Consider the following 21,538-nt stretch of genomic DNA (forward strand, 5'->3'; position numbering starts at 1 on the left):
ATATTACATTGTTGAATGCCTAGATTTTGTTTTCTTATTTTATAGAATATTGGGTTTTGTTCTGGCAGGCAGTTAATTCACATGAGGATTAGTTGGGCCAGACCTTTTAAAACTTGTTTTTAAGTTGTGCTAGGTCAGATCTAGAATGACCTACCTCTCAGACTCATTGAGTCCTACTCTTAAGGCTTGACCTTTCTAAGGTTTCTGCTTATGTGTGTTCACATAAATGCCTCATGTGTGATCAATGAGTTCTTCCCACTATAGTTAGTCAGAACTTGAGGGCCGACTGGCTGTGTGAAGTGTAAGTTATTCAAGGTACAGCCCCCAGTAATTGTTCTTTGGCCATCTTTGTAGTCTTACTCTACATATCTGTAGCTTAAATATTCAGCAAAGGACTTGAGGGGACCCCATACAGATTTCTGGAACTCTTTCTCTTTATGTCTCTCTTCTCTCAAGCTCTGTCCCACAAATTTCACTTCACTTCCCCAAACACACTCTATCCTCATCTCTGCTTAGATTCTCCTCTCTGTGCTATAGTCTAGAAAGTGTCTCTAGTGGAGCATACATTACTTGTGTCCCTTCTCTTGGGGATCACAGCCTGTTCAATGTCTGAGAGTTGCTTCATATGTCATTTGTCCAGTTTTCTGGCTGTTTATGGCAGGAGGACCAGTCTGGTACCAGTTATACTATCATAACTGGAAAAATAAGTCCCACCACATTCATATTCAAACTTTGTTTCTGTTTCTTTTCTCCCCGCAAGGCAGTGAGACCCTTCAAGGCAGTGACAGGGACTCATTCATCTCTGCATTCTCAGTATCTAACATATGAAGCATAGCATATATCAGGCATAATAAATATTATTGAATAAAAGAATAATTGACCATTGTTAAACCAATCCATAATACTTATGGTATCTATATTTAAGTAATTTACATGAATATCTAAGTGCTTCTGTAACATGTGGGGTTTTTTTAAGCAACTGAGAATAATCTATTAAATTACTGAATATATGTAAGCTAGAGATCAATGCTAGAGTCAGGTTAGTTCTATGCTAACCTTACATAACATTCCTTGTAGCTGTAAGATGCCAGTGTCCAGAAGCAAATATCATATGTGTTCAGGTATCTCTAGGACAATAATGACACGTTATTCTAGAATAAAAAGTAGCAGGGCTGTTTTCAGCATTCAGTCTATGAAGTTGACAAATAGAGTATCTACCTTCAGAGATTTCTGCCTCTATGCAAGCAAAAGGGTTAAAAACTTTCAGACTATAGTTTCATTTATGTTAGTCTTCTAAAGGACTACGGTGGCTTTTAATTTAAATAGCAAGATGCATTGAGTTGGTCTTTTAAAAGTCTATGCAGCTATCTTCTAATAATTAAAAAGTAGACTCACAAAATAAGAATTACAGTCAGACTGCTGTAAACTACAGAAATTGGGAAGGAAAGAAGTCTTGCATTTTCACATTAAAGGTTTCTTTCTGAAATCTTAATACAACATCTGTACAAGAGGTTTCGTATAAGAAATATCTGCATCTGGAAGGATGAAGTCTTAAAAATCTATGACGCTTAAAATCTGCGGATATGGGCACATCTATAATTAGAATACCTGCACTTCACTGTTTAAAGAGTCCCTAAAATTCCAGTTACACACACACACACACACACACACACACACACACACACACACACATCACTGTGTCTATTTCATAGGTCAACACAGGGTTCACACAATATTGTTATTATCAATCACACAGTCTTTTAATACATAATCTCATTTGATCCACAGGATTCTTAAAATTCCCTTTTGTTCCTTTTTGACTATATTTCTGTTTTTTTTTCCAATGAAAAGAAGACTTTTTTAGGTTAAGAACTCAGCTGTGAATGAGATGTCAACTCTGTTGGTTCATTCTTCTAGTTACCTTCAGCAAGTCACCTTTTCATCTTTGTTCTTTGATTACACAACCTACCAGGTAGAAATAATAATTTGATCTCCACATGAGAGTTAAGAACTCCTGAAATTTTAAGATAGGATAACAAAAAACTGGTGCATATGAAGAGAAATTTTTCAAAGTAATGTTTGTACTTGTTTAAAACTAAGCAAAATGACATTTAAAGAATAATGATTTAAGTTCATGGTCCCAAAACGATTTAAAACTAAAGGTTTTATTTCACTGTGTTTTTTTCCAACATTTCCCCCTTTGGTTTACATTTGCCAGTTAAGAATTTAAAGTGAGGCTTTGCCAAAGCCTTAGGTTCCACCTGGTTTGGGGTTGAAACCACATGAAGCCACTGAATTTTGCATAGTTTCCATTTGAAATGATTTATCAGCTTGGGTTCTCTTTCAGTGAGAGCCAGGTTTACATGAAACTTGGCCAAGCATTAGATGAACCTGCTCTGAGTTTTGATTTTATATCAGACCCTAAAATGAGGCCACTCAACCTAATTCTGTCTTTCAAAAAGCTCTTCTTATAATGTCCCCAGAGTATACATAGTAGTTACTAGAGACTGAGGCACAGCAACACTTTCTTTCAGTATAAAATGGGGGAAAATTTCTCGGCTGCTTGGAACCTATTCTAATTTGAAAACTAGACAGATTTAATAGAGGTTCTAGTGTCAAGCATAACACTTTAGGGAAAAATTTCCTTAGAAGTCTCAACAAAAGGGTTTTCAAGTAAATAGCTCAGAAAGACCAGGTTAATTCATTTTTTCCTTTATTTTTTCCTTTATTTATGCATTCATTAATTTAATAAATATTTGTTGGGCACCTACTACATGCAATGCCAAGCCCTGTTCTAGGCATGGGATACATTACTGCACAAAATAATTAGAGATCCCAACTTTTGTAGGTCTTCCATTCTAATAGCAGGAGACAGACAATAAGACTAACCACAATATACGTAGTATATTTGTACTATGAAACAAAAGTAGAGCAAAATTAGAGATCAGGGTGGGTTGCAGTGTTAAAGAGGATTTACAAGGAAAGACTCATTGAGGTGGTAAGATTTGAACAAAGACTTGAAGGAGTGAGGAAGTAGCAACCAGATCTTGACGAAGAATGTTCTAGACAGAGAGAACAGCTAGAGCAAAAGCCCCAAGAGGAAAGTGTACCTATATATTACAGGAACCACAAGGGACTATTATGTCAGAAATGGAATGAGCAAATGGGAGAGTGGTAGGAAATGAAGTCAGGCAAGTCACAATAGGCTAACACATTACCTGGAGGCCATGGGAAGGATTTTGGCTATTTCTCCAGATGAAAAGGAAGCCACGGCAGGATTTTGTACAAAGGAAACATACATTCCAACTTACAAGAATATATAAGTTCAAAAGGCTCTATCTATCATGTTGTGGGTAGATGATAGATGGGCCAAGGTAAAAAAAAAAAAAAAAGAAACAGTAAGAGGCCATTGAAAAAGATGAGTGCTTTAGATTTGGTGATAGCAATAGAAGTAGCAAAAGTAGTCAGATGCTAGCTATTTTTTTGAAGATAGAGCCAACAGTATTGCCTAATCAACTAGATATTAAAAAGAGAGAAAGAAAGGAAGACAGAGAGAGAGACAGGGAGAGAGAGAGATGGATCATGGACGATTTTTTTTTTTTTGAGACAGCATCTTGCTCTGTTGCCCAGGCTGGAGTGCAGTGGAATGATCTCAGCTCACTGCAACCTCCACCTCCTGGGTTCAAACAATTCTCCTGCCTCAGCCTCCTGAGTAGCTGGGACTACAGGTGCCCACCACCACACCCGGCTACTTTTTGTATTTTTAGTAGAGATGGGGTTTCACCATGTTGACCAGGCTGAACTCCTGACCTCAAGTGATCCACCCGCCTCAGCCTCCCAAAGTGCTGGAATTACAGGCATGAGCCACCGTGCTCAGCCAAAGACGAATTCAAGATGCTGTCCCAAGCAACTGAAAGGACAGAGCTGCCATCAACAGAGATTAGAAAGGCTGCAGTTGAAAGAGTGTTGGGGAGATAGATAAAGAGTTCAGTTTCGGAAGTTGAGTTTGAGATGTCTGTTAGACCTTCCAGTGGAAATATCATTAATTAGGCAGTTAGCTTGATGAGAGCCTATATTTGGAAATAAAGTTTTGCATTTAGAAGTCATTAGCATAATGTCAACAAGTATGTGAGTATAGACAGGGAAAAGCACTAAAGTCTAACCGCCGAAATACTCCAGCATTCAAAAGTCAAAGAGAAGAGGAGAGAAGAGCTCCAGTAAAGTAGGATGAAGACAAATGGGTGGAGGAGTTTTGGGTGCCTTGGAAGCCGAATGAAGACAGTGTTTCAAGGAGGAGAATGTTATCAACTGCATGTGGCAGTATGATGAGGATTGAAAACTGATCATTGGATTTATCCATTGGAGGTCATCGGTGACATGTATAAAAGCAACAATGGTGAAGTAGAGAGAGAGAAAGCCTGATTATTTAGGCAAAGATAAAATGGAAGAAGAAAAAAACAAGAAATATGACAACTCTTTCAGGGAGTTTGCTGCAAATGGAGCAGAGAGAAGGACAGTAGCTGATAAGAGAAGCACAGTAAAATATGTGTTTAAATAATGGAAGACATAACCACCTGTTTATATGGTAACACGAGTGATATAATTTTGAGGAGAAGCATGATCATCTGGGTAAAAAAGAAGAGTATTGCTGGAGCTGTGGTTCTGAATAGATGAGAAGAGGTAGAATCTGGCCCATGGGTAGAAGAATCAGCTTCAGACAGAGAGAATATGCAGAACCTATCTACTCCGATAGAAGAACATACGTGTAGTGGAGTAGATGCTGGCGGGTGAACAAGTTGAGGAGTTGGGGAGACCTGTGGAAGTTCTCCTCCAGTTGCTTCTATTTCCCCAGTGAAGTATAAACCAAGGTTATGAGTGAAGGTCAGGGAAGAGTATGAGGAGGGATGAGGTGGTGTGAAACAGATATTTGAGAGAATGGAAGAGTCGTGGGATTAGGGCAATAAAGTATGTTTGCGAGGCAGTATTAGGACCTCTTTGAAGTTCATGGCACTGAACATAACATGAGACCATTTAGGGGATTCTATGTTCTTCTCCAGGCACATAGAGTTGCACAGGTGCAGATACGGAGCAGCCAGAGAGCTGGATTTAACTCAAGTTTGGGGAAACCAAGCAAGGATGGTGAAGTGAGAGAGGGGGAAGGAGGTTGAGAATGTTTACAAAGGACTGATGATAATGACTGTCGGTGGAATTATAATTCACTACCCTCCCCTGATAAGGAGGGGAATTAAGACATCAGGGGCCGGTGAAGGAGTGGGAGGATCAAGGATTGAAGAGCCCTGCCTTGTCAAAGGATTGTTGGGGTTGGCATACTAAGAGCAATGATCAGAGAGTGGGATGCATGGAACCAAGATGATGGAGCGGGCAGTTACCAGTACTCATAAGGGCTAGGGTTGATTAGATTGGCCAGGGAGTGGCTTGGGGAGAGGAGGGGTGATCCAGAAAGGAAGAGGCAATTGTGTTCATGAGCTCACATCCAAGAGCTTTGAAATCTTCAAAAATTCAGACAGGAAGAAATGACAGCGAAGCAGGAGCTGAAATCATTTAGAAATTAGGAACAACGTCCTAGGGTCAGTCAATAACTAGGGAAGTAGTAGGCTATGTAATATGATAAGATTAGAGATAAGAAAGCTAAGAGATTTGAGGTGGACAATAGAGAGCATGGAGGGAGGGAGAAAGGGACAGAGAAGAAAAGCAGGCCGGCAGGCTTTAAGAAAGATTTTGGCATGACACTGATTCAACGGTATGTTCATCCATTCTTGCCTTGCTATAAAGAAATACCTGAGGCTGGGTAAGTTATAAAGTAAAGAGGTTCAATTGGCTTACATTTCCTCAAGCAGTACAGGAAACATGGTGCTGGCATATACTTCTGGTGAGGCTTACAGTCATGGCGGAAAGCAAAGAGGGAGCAAGCAGTTCACATGGTGAGAGAGGAAGCAAGAGAGTGAGCGGTGAGGTGCCGTGCTCTTTTCAATGACCAGGTCTTGCATGAACTCAAAGCAAGAACTCACTCATTCCCATGAGGATGGCACCAAGTATTCATGAGGGATCTGCCCCCATGATCTAATCCCCTCCACCATGCCCCACCTCCAACACAGAATCACATTTCAACATGAGACTTGGAGGGAGCAAAAATCCAAACTACATCAAATGGATACACTCACATTTGCATTGAATATCCTAGAGTTATGTTATTCAAAGATAGTATAGTTATAGACAAACCTGAATAAATCATTGCATTTTGTATAAAGTTACAGTTTGCCAAAATGAGATTCTTCCTCCATCAGAAAGTATCAAGGGGCCAATAACATGCTGCTTCTTTTTTTTATAGTGAAATAAACAAGAAAATCCTTAGAAAGGTGCCAAATGATACTGCAGAAAAAGGAATCCAATTTACACGTAGATGGTCTAGGCTTACTTTATGACAATAATAAAGCAAGTATTTTCTCTAGGAAAGAGAGCTTAAATCTCTGAAGGGCAGTGGATAGCTTTATAACGTATAATACTGGCTTTATTACCCTTTTATGGTTTTGCATCTTCTCTTTACTTTGACAAAAGATCATTCAGAAGTGAACTTACTTCAATGATACCTGCACAGACTTTATGCCTACAAAAGTAATTCATAGTATTTATCCTGGTGACAGGTCAGAGGAGATGATCAAATTTTTTTATTTTCCCTAGTTAAGCTATATTTCATTCTTGATGCCAGAGAAGTTTTTTTTAATTTCCTGGGAATCAGGAATGGCACTTTTGGCAGGTTCTGCACCAATCTGAGCTCACAGATGCCCAGAAATTGCTCAATGGTACTAAGTCTCCTAAGTAATTCCAATTTTGTAGTGAAACAAATTCTATTTTCTTTTGGAATAAAATAGAGAAACAGGGCCAGGTAGAATTTCCCTGGAGTAAGTTTCCTTTTCGTGTTTATGAATTATGTCTTTGCCCATGGTGAGCAGTGGCAAGGATGACAGCAGGTGGCTCATTTTACAAATCAGTAAACCAGAGGAAACCTTGGTTTGCAAGGAAGTTGAGTGGGGAGAAAGAATATTCAAAAGGAAAAGAATATTAAGTAGAGGATTTCAAGGAATTAAGTTCTTGCTCGTTCTTTACTACAAATAGCAATATAATAAAAATTGCAATAAACCTCCCAGGCACCTAACTCTATGCAGAGTGGATTTCGTGGACTTCATCTGAAATGACAAATCTCAATAATTAATTCAACAAATTTCAATGCATGCCTTACATGTGCAGGATATTGTCTAGGCACTGAGACTTTAATGGTGGGATGTGGCCCACAGGTTCCACTCTCAGGGAGCTTACATTCTCAGATGACCACAATCTGCCCCCGTGTGAGCCGAAGTTGTGACTGCAAGTGACAGGCACTGAAATTCCTGGTGTGATAATCGGAGACTGCCTCTTTAGAGGTTGTTGGAGGAGGGATGAAGCGTCTTTAGCACTTGGAACAAATTTCTTGAAGCTCTTTGGTGTAGTAACACCCTAGCTCTATTCTTTGGATAGGTTTTACACAAATTTGAGAATATAATATATTCTCTGAAAATGATTAGAAGTTAATAATGAAAATGTGCAGGATCCTAAGCAGAATTGTAAAGTTTGGAAATATAAATTGCTCATAACCAAATACCTGGCTTCTGCAAGACCGTGCCAGCTTAAGGACACTTTGTACCATAGAAGTATATCTCAGGAACCTTCTCACTGACCAGCATCTTGAGTTCAACGAAACCCCTCTCCTATCCAGTCACAGAGCTCTTCTTCAGTTTCCTGTAAAGATAAAGGACTTCTCCCAAGGCCGTTAGCTGTGTCTTGATGCAAAAGAGAATTTAAATTTAAATTCTTTTTATTTAAATAAAGATCATTCTATTCTTACATTTTCTTTTATTAGTCAATCTGTTCAAATGACTGACTTTTTATTTTATTAGTCAATTTTTAAAAAATCTTCCATTTCAAAATATTTGTCTCCTAAAGCTTATAGAAAAAGGCAGGCCAGGCATAGTAGCTCATGCCTATAATCCCAGCACTTTGGGAGCCCAAGGTAGGAGGATTACTTAAGCCCAAGAATTCGAGACCAGCCTAGGCAACATAGTGAGACAGTATCTCTACCAAAAAAAAAAAAAAAGAAAGAAAGAAAGAAAGAAAAGAAAAATTAGTCAGGCATAGTGGCATGTGCCTGTAGTCCCAGCTACTTGGGAGGCTGAGATGGGAGGATCGCTTGAGCCCAGGAGGTTGAGGCTGCAAAGAGCTTTGTTTACACTACTGTACTCTGGCATGGAAGACAGAGTGAGACCCTGTGTCAAGAAAGAAAGGAAGGAAGGAAGGAAGGAAGGAAGGAAGGAAGGAAGGAAGGGAGGAAGGAAGGAAGGAAAGAAGGAGGAAGGGAAGGGAAGGGAAGAAAGGAAGGAAGAGGCTACTTGAGTTTCACTCGGGTTACAGGATTGGCTTCAAGAGAAAGATAGAAAAAATAATAATAGACTCTTGTAAGTGTCTGAAAGAGAGAATTAATCCAAAAGTACTTTAAACACTCTAGAAATGCAAATAATAAAATGTCGGTGTGAACAGTTCTTGTTTGGCTTTGGCTGGTATCTTTTTCTTAAGCACTCCCTTCCGGTTTGCTGATAGCTCTCTATCTGCTTTGCCTAGGATGACATCCAAGGCAGGCAGAGTATACAAGGACTCTTCAGGACAGATAATTGCATGTGCAAAAGTAGCTTGGATTCAGAGCTTCATTTTAACGGTTCGTAACCATATTATCAATCTGTAAACCGCATAGAAACAAAAGATGTCAAGAGAAAATAACAGGAAAAAAATAACACTAGCAGACAGATTCCTCCCTACAAAGTCTTGTAGTAGAAACCAAAATAATACAAAAACCTGACAATAGCCATGTCATTGGGGGCAAGCGGAAAGACAAGGTAAATGACCAGTAGAGCCAGAGGAAAGAACTAGAGGTCAGGAAGCACAAAGGGCTCTGCAGAGAGGACGAAAGACTTCATTCCAGATGCTCAAAGACAGAGGATGGTGGTGTCAGCGGGGGATTCCTGGGCAGCTTAGGGACTAAGCAAGCACAGGGCTTTGGTTTACTTAAAATACCAGTTATGCGAAAAACAGAATTGCAGGTGTCTCCACAGGATGTATTTCTGCACAGGTTCCTAAGTAAATATAGAGGACAGATAGATAGAGTGAACAAAAAATAAACAACCCTTATCCATACAGACTTAAAGGCTTAAAAATGAATGAGATTTTCATTGTGTGGTTTCTACCCATTTAGTGTGGGCAAGTGTGTATGTGTGTGTGTGTTTCTTTTTCTTTAGAATTGCAGGGAAAATGCATGATGAAAAATGATGTTTAAATAACCAAATTCCTATGTGTTTCACTGGCTGAGAGCAGAGAGACAAGGAGGGAGGAAATGAGAAGGAGGGAATCTGTGAAGAGTTTGACTAAAAATTGTCCTCTTCCCTCCTCCAATATAATGCATCAAACTAAAAGACCAGTTTGGAGAGGATAAAGTTTAGGTTAAAAATGTGCTATATGCAGCCCGTTTCTTTCTTTCCCAGGAACTCTTTTATGTCCAACTGCACAGTCTCTATCTTCCTCTAATCCTTTTCAGTCTCCTTGCCCTTTGCCCCCACAGGACCTTTGGCACATTGCCTCTTGACCTCAAAAAATGAGGAGTTCAGAGTTTCAGGGAGATTTTGATGAAACCACCTGCTGTTCTTCTCTACCATTTTCCCCACCACTGAATTCAAATAGAACGGTAGAGGGTATAAATATGCTAATATTCTGAACCACACCAAATCCCCAACTCAGCAATTCCTGTGAGATAGGACAGTTGTAGGGATGGGTTTGAGTTAATAATTCTCCCACCACTACCCAAATAGGAATGGGATTGGAAGAGCTTGTAGACAGACGTGGATTCCAATCTCTCTCATATGGAAAAAGTGCAAAAATCCAAATTCTCAAAAGATTAGTCGACTTAGTATTGTGCTTTGTAGTCGAGACACCTCTTGATTTTCTCTTACAAAACTTGGTTTTCTTTAATTATGTACTGGTAAACTCTGACCAGAAAACTGGAATATTTTGTTATCTAAAATTTCGCTTTTATAAATCCAACTTTTGGACATACAACTCTTAGAAGAAAGGGTCATACCAGTGTGTCCTGAGATAGGGCATCATTTAGCTTGGGGAATGAAATAAGACAAGCACAGCATGGCATTTAAGCCATTAGTCCTGATGAGACATATTCACAGTTGGTCAAAGCAGGGAAGAAAGCAGGCAAGATAGCTGAGGAACCACAGTGGGTTTGTTGTTGTTGTTGTTGTTGTTGTTTCAGGTAGTAGTTCCCTGTCTGTTTTAGGTTTCAAATTTAATTTGGAAAATGTTTTAGTTGACTAAATAAAAGACACATGAATTCACGGATCATAGAAAAAGAAGGAACTATAGCAGAGTTAAAATGTTTGGGTTGTGAAAATAAATTAGTAATGAAAAAGGAAATGCTTATTAGGAACTTTCTATGTACCAGCTCTTCTCCTAAGTGTATTACATATACAAAGTTATTTAAACCTCAAAAAGTCTGTGAGGTTGATACTCTTACTCCAGCTTTACTAATAAGGAAACTGAGATCCGGAAAGTTTAACCTGTGCCAGGTGTCACAGCTAGCAAAGGGGCAGAGCTCCCGTCAGACCCCAAAGCCTGTGTTTATTGTAAAACCATTATGCTAGGTGCCAAAACAATGCTTGGATATATGAAAGGGAAAAGAGGTGATGTTCTTCTAAGAAAGCCATTAGGAAATTCCTTTGAACTATCACTGATGTAGCTCCTAAATTTCAGAACCCCTCTACTCTCTATTCTTATGAATCATCAACGGTTAGCACTACGTTGATGCTCTAACTACGACCTCTAACTACGAAACTGAATCGCACCTTCAGTTGTTTATGACATTGCTCTTTTTTAGAAACTTATTGTATTAATTATCTATTGTTGCATTTTAAGAAAACAAAATGTAAGAGACTTAATAATAAACATCAATGCTCTTACACAGCTTCTGTGAATCAGGAATGTGGGAGCGGCTTGGCTGGATGGTTCCAGTTTAAAATCTTTTATGAGGTTGCAGCCTAAGATACAGAGCAGACCCTACATTGTTCTAAGGGACTTACTAGAGTAGGAGGATCCTCTCCCAAGATGGCTCACTCACAAGGCTGGCAGGTTGGTGCTGGCTGCTAATTGGAGGCCTCAATTCCTTGCCATGTGGACCTCTCCATGGGGCTGCTTGAGTGTCCTCACCACATGCATGGAAACTGAGAGCAGGTGATCTGAGAGAACAAGGCAGAAGCTGCAAAGTTTATTAGGATCTAGCCTCAGAAATCACATTCTGTCATTCTGTAATCCCATTGGTTACCCAGGTCAGCCATATTCAGTGTGGGAGGGAGCTGCACAAAGGTTTGGATACCAGGAGGCGAGAGTCACTGGAGACTGTGTTGGAGGCTGACTACCACACTTACTGTCAGTTTATTAATGATCCTATTTGGTGACTCGGTCTCATTTTTCTGCTTTAGGGCAAGACCAACAGAGAGATGAAATAAATGCAGTAAATGCATTCAGTTATAATTGCAGTGGACAATCTGCCCTTGCATCTTCCCAGGAGAGCTAGCGCTTGAGGAGTCTTTCTGGACTCTCAACTCCGGTCATTCTATTGCCCTACTGCTTGCATCAAATGTAGGATTTGTCACTAAACGTCAGGCTCACCAGGATAGTCAAACATCAGGCTCTTTGAGCAAAAAGAAAAAGTAATGTCTAGGGCTACCCTACATATTCATTCAGTTATCTGAAAAATATTTTTTAGATGCCTACTGATGGATAGAGCCATTGTCTATGTGGAATCTTAGGCATAATGTACCATTAGGAGGGCTCAGTCTGCTAATTGTAGAGATTCTTTGCTGAAATGAACTTTAGAGATAGTTAAATATAGTCACCACTCCTTATTACAAATAAAAACATTGAAGTCCTCAGAAAACTAAAACTTGCTTTTGTTACTTGGTTATGCCTGTTCTGCTTTGACTTCTCTCATCGATAAAATCACCATCAAAACCACTGCCTAAAATGGGTTTTAGAGGTTCTCTCTGGATTTCATTGCTTTTCCTCTACCGTAGTAACCAGATGAACTATTTGAATGAATTGTACCTCTTTCCAGAGTTCAGTCCAAGAGTCATAAGTTGTTTATGGACATCACTCTGGTCCTTCTGTCTTAGAAAGAGGAAAATCTAACTAAACCTCAATACTAGCATTGACCTATAACTAAGTAACCACTTTCTATCTGGTTAGCCAACATGTCAAGTTAGACAACTGTCCTTTCCAAAGGGATTGAAGCTGTTGGTGTCCTGCACAAGTGGATGCTGAGAAGGGGTAGAATGGAATGAGGTAAACAGGTACTTATTGAGGACCTACTGTACTCCAGACAGAATGCTAGCACTTTCACACCTGGGCCAACCCTTTAATTTCCAAAACGATGGCATGAGGTGGGAGGCATGATGATTATCCCATTTTACAAAAGAGAAAACTGAGGGTGATTTGTCCAAGAATGGTTGGGGATCAAGAGACATATTTGGGATGTAAATCCAGATCTGCCTGAGCCTGTATTCTGACCCACTAAGCTGCCCAAACACCACTCTGAACTGACTTCTCAGTGAACATGCCTAGCTCATGCCTGTGCTCTGTCTCCTCTCATTGTCCCTTGTTGCTTTGGAACACTGAGGTTTAAAAACTCTTTTAGCTTTATGTTTGCATATATGTGTATATGTGTAAATGAACAGTTTTCAAATACATTGTTATCTCCTTAATAACAGTATCCCTTTTAAATTTCCCCTTCCCCACCCATAGGGTGGAGTACTATGCTCTGCCCACAATGAGCTCTGAAGATAGTTTTTGTTCTTGTGACAGATTTTCAACCAAGCCACCACCCACCTCTCCTCCACCTCAACTCACTAAGTGTTCTCTTCTGCTGGTGGAGAAAAAAATAAATCATTTCGAATTTTTTAATATCATGTTATTTCCCTCCAAACATGTATATATTGTGCTTCTGCAAAAAGTCTTTCTTAACCAGTCAATACATTTGTCTGCTTTAGAGTTGTGATGACAGTAATTAATGTGGAAGCTGAAAAGTCAGATTTATTATGACTGAGAGAAGTCTCTGCGGATAACCTGTGTCTTCACTTAATTTCACCACAGAAGTATTTTTTTATTCTGGAAATGTTTTTTAAATGTAAGCACATTATAATCGATGCTGCTTCTTTGTCTTTCTCTGGAATTTCCAAGACGACCTTTTCCTCTTTGTTTCTGCTTGTAGTGGCTCCACAGCTCAGTATCAACACGGGAAAGAGAGGCGGCTCTAAGCTGATTACATACGCGGCCACCCCTCTAAGGGCGAAACTGCATTGCTGTCAGTCTTAGGAATTCACAACCTTAACAGCAGCCATGGCTCTTCAGCAGAAGCCCTGAGGCTCAGTTGCCAGCTGATGACCTTTGATGGGATAATTTCTAGCTTTGCTAAGACTGCAAGAGGAACAAGTGAGGGGTTAGGAAGCAAGAGTTATTCATGAAGCCACTGTGTCTTTATTCAAGAACGTTGAGAAACAAACCTTCATGGCTATTCTTCGTTAAATAAAGTAGCATACCCATTTAAATTTCAAAATTGTTCAAGTCACTCATAAATCCTCGAACTTTATCTTTTTCATTTAAAAATCCTTTTTTGCCTGATGGTCTTGTAAGGAAACAAGTCATTCTATGTCTTAAAATGATTGTTTCAAGCCAAAATAGGCACATGAGAACATTTTAAACTTCATTGAACCTCGAAAGAATTTTCAATATTTGAGGAGAGAACCCTTCAATTCTTTTTTTTTTAAAGGAACTGGACAACAATATGAATGTAATAGATCCATTAGCATTGTGAGAAACAGGTCACTAACCCCCCTTTTCATTCCCACAACACCACCAAATACTTTTCTGGTTTTAATAACTGTTAGAAAGGTCTGCTCAAACACAGAAAGGAGCTAGTGTTTTCACAAGCCTCTGAAAGAAGAGGATGCATTGCAAGATCTTTAAATTCATTGTACAGCAAGAGAATGAAAAAGAATGTAAGAGGAAAGTGGACAACTACCTGTTTGACCTATACATATAATAGATTTGTTACTAATTAGAATCAGTTTGTTTTTTGTTGTTGTTTTTACCATCTTGAACTTTATTAGGTTTATGATTGTGCAATAGATCTCTAGAACTCTTTTATCTTGCAAAACTGGAACTCCACATTCATTGAACAGCAACTCCGCCCTTTCCCTCCCATCCTTCTCTCCCTCCTGGAGTCCCTGGCAACCACCAATTTTACTTTCTTTCCTATGAATTTGACTATTCTAGGTATCTCATATAAGTGAAATCATACAGTAAAATTATTAGAACCAATTTGGATACAAATAAGATTTAGATGTACAAATTGACTAATCTGGATGTACTAATATCAAGACAAACAAATGAAAACCAAGTATGGCCACATGATCAAGAACACTTGCTTGGCTCTTATTGCCTCTAATAGTTTTCTGTATGCTCACTTTTGTGCAAAAGCTGTTTAAAATCCAGCTTACCGATACCTATTATCCCAGCAAGGACAGGGTTGTGTTGGGCAGTGGAAAATGGTAAAACCTAACTCTGAAGGCCCTTGGACCATTTGTTCCAAAAGCAAACAAGTTGGAAAGAATGTGAGTTTTTTATATTTTATTTTAAGTTCCAGGGTACATGTGCAGGACGTGCAGGTTTGTTACACAGGTACACATGTGCCATGGTGGTTTACTGCACCTATCCTCAATAACTTAGGTATTAAGCCCTGCAATGCATTAGCTATTTATCCTGATGTTCTCCCTCCCTCCGTCCCCCTCCCCCAGTGGGCCCTGGTGTGTGTTGTTCCCCTTCCTGTGTCCACGTGTTCTCATTGTTCAGCTCCCACTTATAAGTGAGAACATGTGGTATTTGGTTTTCTGTTCCTGCATTAGTTTGCTGAGGATAATGGCTTCCAGCTCCATCCGTGTCCCTGCAAAGGACGTGATCTCATTCCGTTTTATGGCTGCATAGTATTCCATGGTGTATATGTACCATATTTTCTTTATCCAGTCTATCATTGATGGGCATTTGGGTCGATTCCATGTTTTTGCTATTGTAAATAGTGCTGCAATAAACATACTCGTGTATGTATCTATTGTAGATAGAATGATTTATATTCCTTTGGGTATATACCCCGTAATGGGATTGTTGGATCAAATGGTATTTCTGGTTCTAGAACTCTGAGGAATCAAAATGTGGTTACTTTTTTACCTCCGATCTGTCTTTATTGTAATATTAAAATCAAAGACTTGTAGAGAATAGCCTAAAATCCCTTAAACAAAGTTAAAAGGCAAATAATAGTCTAGAAAAAAAATTTGCAATGTTCAGTGCTAAAGTCAACTATTTTTCCTGGCTTAAGGGAGTTTTATTCTTAGCAGTTATGATAATGACAAAAAACATGATATGGAATGGGAATGAGAAGGAAGCTGTCAATGGTTTGGGAAAATATTTTGCTAATGACTTCATTGAGAGTAACATAATGGAAGTTCATCCTGGGGGCTGAGTACTGTACATTCTGCATTACTGAACCCTGAAGTTTGCTTACCGAAAATACTTGCAGGAAGTAGCTACTAATTAAATAGGCATTCTCCAAGAATTGGATGAAAATTGAAAAATTCAGAAAGCATTTACAAATAATTTGTTTAAATGTCTTTAATATAATATTACATCTTTATAGTCAAATAGTTCTTTAAGAAATTCTTTCATTAAGATCACTACATTGTGCATGGTGGATATTTTTCTGGGTGAGTTAGTATTAACTCCGTCTTTAAGAGAATTATTTATATATCATAAGAAACAAGAATCTTATAGTGCATTTGAAGAGGCCAACTCTGAAGAATTAGGCTACATTTTTAGAAACATCACCAATCACTGAAGTTTTAGAATATATAAGAACAAGTATTCCTTCCAGGAAGGTAGGAATATTACATTTCTTCTACTTACATGTTTTATTACCAATTCACACTTAACATTGGTGAAGTAAGCATGATCTTTCATGTATCACAGACTTCATTTCCTTGACAAACGACTTAATTATAATACTTTATTCCACCACTTTTTTTGAGACAAGATAGCAGTATTTGAAGGCAATTTGAGAAGTTGGCAAGCTTACAAATTTATGAGCTTATGAAATTTATGTGTTACATTGATACAACTGACGTCATACATATTTTATAAGAACTGCCCTAAACATAGACGTCATCATTCATAATGAATTAATACTTAAAGGAAATTTAAAAAAAAAAAATTCAGCTAAGAGAGTACTGTTTTGATATGAAATAATATAAGACTTTATAAGGATTGTTGTTTAAAAACAAGCAAGTTGTTTTTAAAATTAGAATTTTGCATGATATATCAATTAGAATGCTTTGGGTTGAAATAGAAACTTCAGCCTAAACTGTCCTAGGCAAGCAACAAGACAATGTCTGGGCTCACAAATGATAATTCCAGAGAATAAGGAAAGCATGCTGCAGTTGGGGCTGTACTGGAGCTCCATTAAGGTCACCTGTTCTGTTTCCTTCCCTATCTCGCTTGGCTTTGCCTGCTGTGGAGAGCTCCATATTTAGGCATGTTTAGGCCCTTGTGTTTACAATGTGGCTGCTCCAGCTCCAGCTTCACATCTTCACAGCCTGAAGTCAATAGACAACAGAGCACTGACTTCCTCCACTGCTCAAACAACAAAACCTCTGAAGTGAGTCTCACTGGCCCTGAGTGACCTGGCGTTGGGCATTGATCAGCCTTTAAAACAATCACTCTTGCTGAAGGGAACAGAAGAGAGGTGCACTCCAGACAGTGTGCTCTATGGGAGAGAGGAGGAGGTGCAACTATTCCTGGAAGTACAAGGGATAGCAAAGAGGAAAAATTATTTCCTCAAAACAAAATCAGGGACAGTTACAAGAATAGGGTGCAGCTCCTGGAAAGGAAAAAGGCAAATAGGGCCTCTAGCGTTAGGATGTAAGGAGTAAAGCTCTAACCTTTTTTCTGGATTAATATAAAATCTTAGATAAGATGAGGGTGCCAACTAAGGAGAGCCAGTGGGGAGCAGGTATTAGAAAATGTATGCCACCTACCAAGGAACAACACAACCACCCTCATCCAAAGCAAAGCCATAAGAGGCCGGGTGAGATGGTTCACGCCTGTAATCCCAGCACTTTGGGAAGCCGAGGCGGGCAGATCACCAGGTCAGGAGTTTGAGACCAGCCTGTCCAACATAGTGAAATCCCATCTCTACTGAAAATACAAAAAAATTAGCCAGGCCTGTAATCCCAGCTACTCAGGAGACTGAGGCAGGAGAATTGTTTGAACCCAGGAGGCAGAGGTTGCAGTGAGCCGAGATTGTACCATTGCACTCCAGCCCCAGCAAAAATACGAGACTCCGACTCAAAAAAAAAAAGCCATAAAATCCCTGCAAGCAATCACCAGCACCTCACTCTTTTTCATGGTGAATGTCACTTAGATAGTAGAAACTTCGATCAATTTAATTTGATCATGTACTCTTTATAGTATTTACGCTCAGGTGTTTTGCGCAGATCATTTCACTAGTCTTCATGGTATTGCTGGTTAACAATACCACCCATTGTCTGTTTGGTGTCAGTGAAGGCTTGTGTACCTGCTTACATGTGTAAATTCACCTGGCAGCTCCTAAGAAGGGCTTGTCTAGTTCTTATTCAAACAATGTGTAAAGGATCAGAAAGTAAATGTTGTTCCCTTTCATCAAACATGCCACAGAAATTAATTTTGTTTATATTTTGTGTAAACTCCATGATCCTGAGTATCATTAGCAAGTTAAATCAAAAATAGCTGATATCTTACCACTACTACTATATATCAGAAGACATTTGGGCTTTCTTTGCAGCCTGTTGTTTGTGTTTATTAACATCTTTGATTGGCAAGACATTCTGCTTCTAGGTACATTTGGTTGGAGGGATGGTCAGAGTGTAATCTATTAGCCACATTTCCCAGGCTAAAGTGGGCTGCATTTTAAAATAATCACTTAACAAACATAAAATTACTAAGGATGGAGCCCCGAAGCACAGACACCTAAGAATATTTTCCTTTTTCGAGGAATCCTTGGTATGTTGATTCACTAATTTCTACTCACTTAGAGCAATGTGGTAGACATAGCTGCTATTTTTTAGGCCAATGTGTCGAACTCACACTCTCATAAGCAAGACATGGAGTGGTAACTGCCAGGAAGTCTGGTGAGATCATCGAAAGCCATGTTCCTGCTCTTTATGGCCCTCCCAGGGAGGAAGGGTGGTGTCCTGCAGAAGGACCCAGGCGCTTGACTGCCTGAGTTAAATGCCAGTCCCCTACCTACTAGTTGTAACCTTGGAAAAGCTATTCAACCTCTGTACTATGATGACTTCAGCTAAAATGGGGGAATGAGTCCTACCTCCTCCGTTTTGTAGGCACTTAATGCATGGTTCCTGGCTTATACTCTGTGCCCAGCAAACGTAAGCTTCTATCATTAGCACCTCTGACTCACTGCACAGCATTAGGAGACTCTGTGCCCTGGGGAGAGAGTGAAACCCTCCAGCTGGGCTTTCAGAACACTCTATTTGTCTCTGCTGGTGGAAGGAGATTAGCTAGCAAAGGGATTTCTGGGCATCCCTGACAGCATCTGGTACACAGTAGGGCCTCTTAGAGGTTTGTTGAATGAATGCCAGGACCCTGGCTGAAAGGTGCTTCTCATCCCCAAGGTATCAGGCACTTTAAGAATAGTTTCATACATTTCTTTTTAATAACCTCAACCTTGTCTTCTATGAAATAGAGTTCGATTGCCAGAAACTGTCATTAAATATGCATGACTCTGTTAAGAGATTTTTTTTGAACAGCTTTTGGTTTCCAAGAGTATACCATATTAAATAGATATAAAAATTCTTAATTCTACCCTCAGCATGAGTGTGGGCATCTTAGGGGTACCCCAAGAATGTGAATCATTCAAGGGGATTCGTCCTCATGACTAAGCCATCTTCTGACACTAAAGTTCAGGTGTTTACCATTTTTACCACAAAGGGGGAAACAGCCTGCAGAAACAGTTACTATCCTGCCATATGTCAGGGGACACTGAGGCTAATATCTGCACGTTTGGAATGAGAGTGTGTGACATGCAGTGCTTTGCACAATACAGGATGACGGCAACTTTTGACTTTCAACTTCTCGCTTTCTTCACTCATTTTCAAATTCCTCAGAGACTGTCTTTTCAGGGCCCTTTTAACTGTGTGTCTGGAACTGAAACAGAAGAAAAAGAGAAAACAGAAAAATAAAAATAGAATAGAAAATTGAAAAAAAAGTAATTTTCTCAAGTTTTATAACATTTCAAATCCTTTTTTTTTTTTTTTAGACGGAGTCTCGCTCTTTCACCCAGGCTGTCGTGCAGTGGCGCCATCTCGGCTCACTGCAGGCTCCGCCCCCCGGGGTTCACGCCATTCCCCTGCCTCAGCCTCCCGCGTAGCTGGGACTACAGGCACCAGCCACCTCGCCCTGCTAATTTTTTGTACTTTTAGTAGAGACGGGGTTTCACCGTGTTAGCCAGGATGTCAAATACTTTTATACTTTTTTATATGTATACTTTTTTTTCAAGGAAAAAGCCTGCTTTTTGTTTTGTTTGCTTATTGGTTTTTACATTTCTGTTGCCTTTTTTTTTTTTTGAGCCATTAAGCTCTTGCTCAGACACATGCTTCTCATCCCGTCCTTCTATGCAATGCCATGAACATTAAACCCTTCAGCAGCCGCGTTCATTTGCCTGCAGTCAGTGACTATCAATTTGGCTTGAGATTTCTAGGTTAAGTGCAGTAATGCACTAAGGCCGGGCCCCTTTCTGGAGATACCAGCCTCCAGGAGTCTGCCCCAGGTAGTCCAGAAGTTGAGTTGGTCTGAAAGCACCTGTCTGGAAGGCGAGGGGGAGTACTTGCTAATGGTATGGAGAGGTGCTTGGAAACAAAGTGCAGGGCAAAAATTAGACCATGAGAGAAAGTAGAAAGTCCTGTCATGTCAAACCTTCCAACACTATAGTCTTTTTTCTTTTTGCAAAGTTTAGCTTATTTTCTTTTTTCTTTTTTTTTGTTTTTTTGAGACGGAGTCTCCCTCTGTCACCCAGGCTGAAGTGCAATGGTGCAATCTTGGCTCACTACAACCTCCTCCTCCCAGATTCAAGCAATTCTCCTACCTCAGCCTCCCGAGTAGCTGGGATTACAGGTGCCTGCCACCATGCCTGGCTAATTTTTGTATTTTTAGTGGAGATGGGGTTTCACCATGTTGGCCAAGCTGGTCTCGAACTGCTGACCTTGTGATCTGCCGGCTTCGGCCTCCCAAAGTGCTGGGATTGCAGGCGTAAGCTACCGTGCCCAGCCTAACTCATTTTCAAAACAAAGTGATATATGCCAGGATTGAACCCTGTAGCTGGATCCCGTCTAGTGTCCAGGGCTGCCTTTGAAAGGACAGCAGAGGTCCATCTGCCAGTGAATTCTTCCCACTGCTCAGACACTCGCCTTTGTCATTCGACCTGCTGATAGGCTGAGGGGGCTGCCTCTGAGTGGAAATACCTTAGCCATTGTTCTTGGAAAGAACAACTTAAAAGCTGAGAAATGGCTTTTAGACTGATTGGGAATAAAGTTGGACTTCCACAACTTTTTACTTTTTTTTAGTCTACCGAATAAAAATGATCTTTTTGAGAAACCAGGGCTCTGTGAAAAAGGAAAGTCTTTTAAAGATGAAAGATCTCATGTTATTTGAAAAAGACATTTAGATGTCCTAATATTTCTCAGATTATACTATGATGTGCAAATATGAAAAGATCTTGCGCTTGGCAATTGCTAACTAGATATGTAGATATGACTGCAAACACCAAGGGATGAGGTAGCCAGTTCATTTTATTAAATATTTTACATTTGAGTTGAAGAAATACCCATAGAAGAGAACATTAGCATCTAGACATCCATTCTTCTATTCCAAAGTCAATGACTAAGCCCCTATGATGTACCAAATTCCAGGTGGCCTCTAGAGGGAAAATAACTGTCCGATATGCGCAGGGCATTCCTCGAGTCTCGGGGAGGGACAGGGAATTTCTACGATTTCTACGGAAGAGAAGTAAGTGTGTTCATGGCAGTGGGAGTTGAAGGGAGGCTTCACTGAGGTCTGAACTTTCTTAGGGTATAAAAATGGTGTAACCATTTTGGTGGAAGTGGAGTTGGTTGGGCAGACAGCTGCAGGTTCATGAGCCCACAGGTGTTTTTAATAACAGGGCTGTTGTGGGGAACAGGGAAAAGACATGGTTAGGCCAGCATCTAAGAAGATTGGTCTGGTACCTGGGTGAATTTAAGGGTAATTTCAGGATTAACAGACAGAAGGCAAAAAGACCATTAGA

At 39.8% G+C, this 21,538-nt stretch overlaps 1 protein-coding gene across 32 annotated transcripts in view, besides 1 other annotated feature; it reads left to right on the forward strand.

The window, feature by feature from the left end:
• Positions 1–21,538, forward strand: part of SULF1 (sulfatase 1) — a 194,132-nt gene that overhangs the window by 51,685 nt on the left and 120,909 nt on the right. The window lies entirely within an intron of this gene.
• Positions 20,486–20,987: an enhancer, noted in NCBI's record as "NANOG hESC enhancer chr8:70451186-70451687 (GRCh37/hg19 assembly coordinates)". NCBI's record gives its function as "activates a minimal SCP1, AML or CMV promoter by ChIP-STARR-seq in primed H9 embryonic stem cells {active_cell/tissue: H9 hESC(primed)}" and the evidence as "EXISTENCE:reporter gene assay evidence [ECO:0000049][PMID:30033119]".

Source organism: Homo sapiens, chromosome 8 (genome assembly GCF_000001405.40).
Source record: "Homo sapiens chromosome 8, GRCh38.p14 Primary Assembly".
Taxonomy (NCBI): Eukaryota; Metazoa; Chordata; class Mammalia; order Primates; family Hominidae; genus Homo; species Homo sapiens.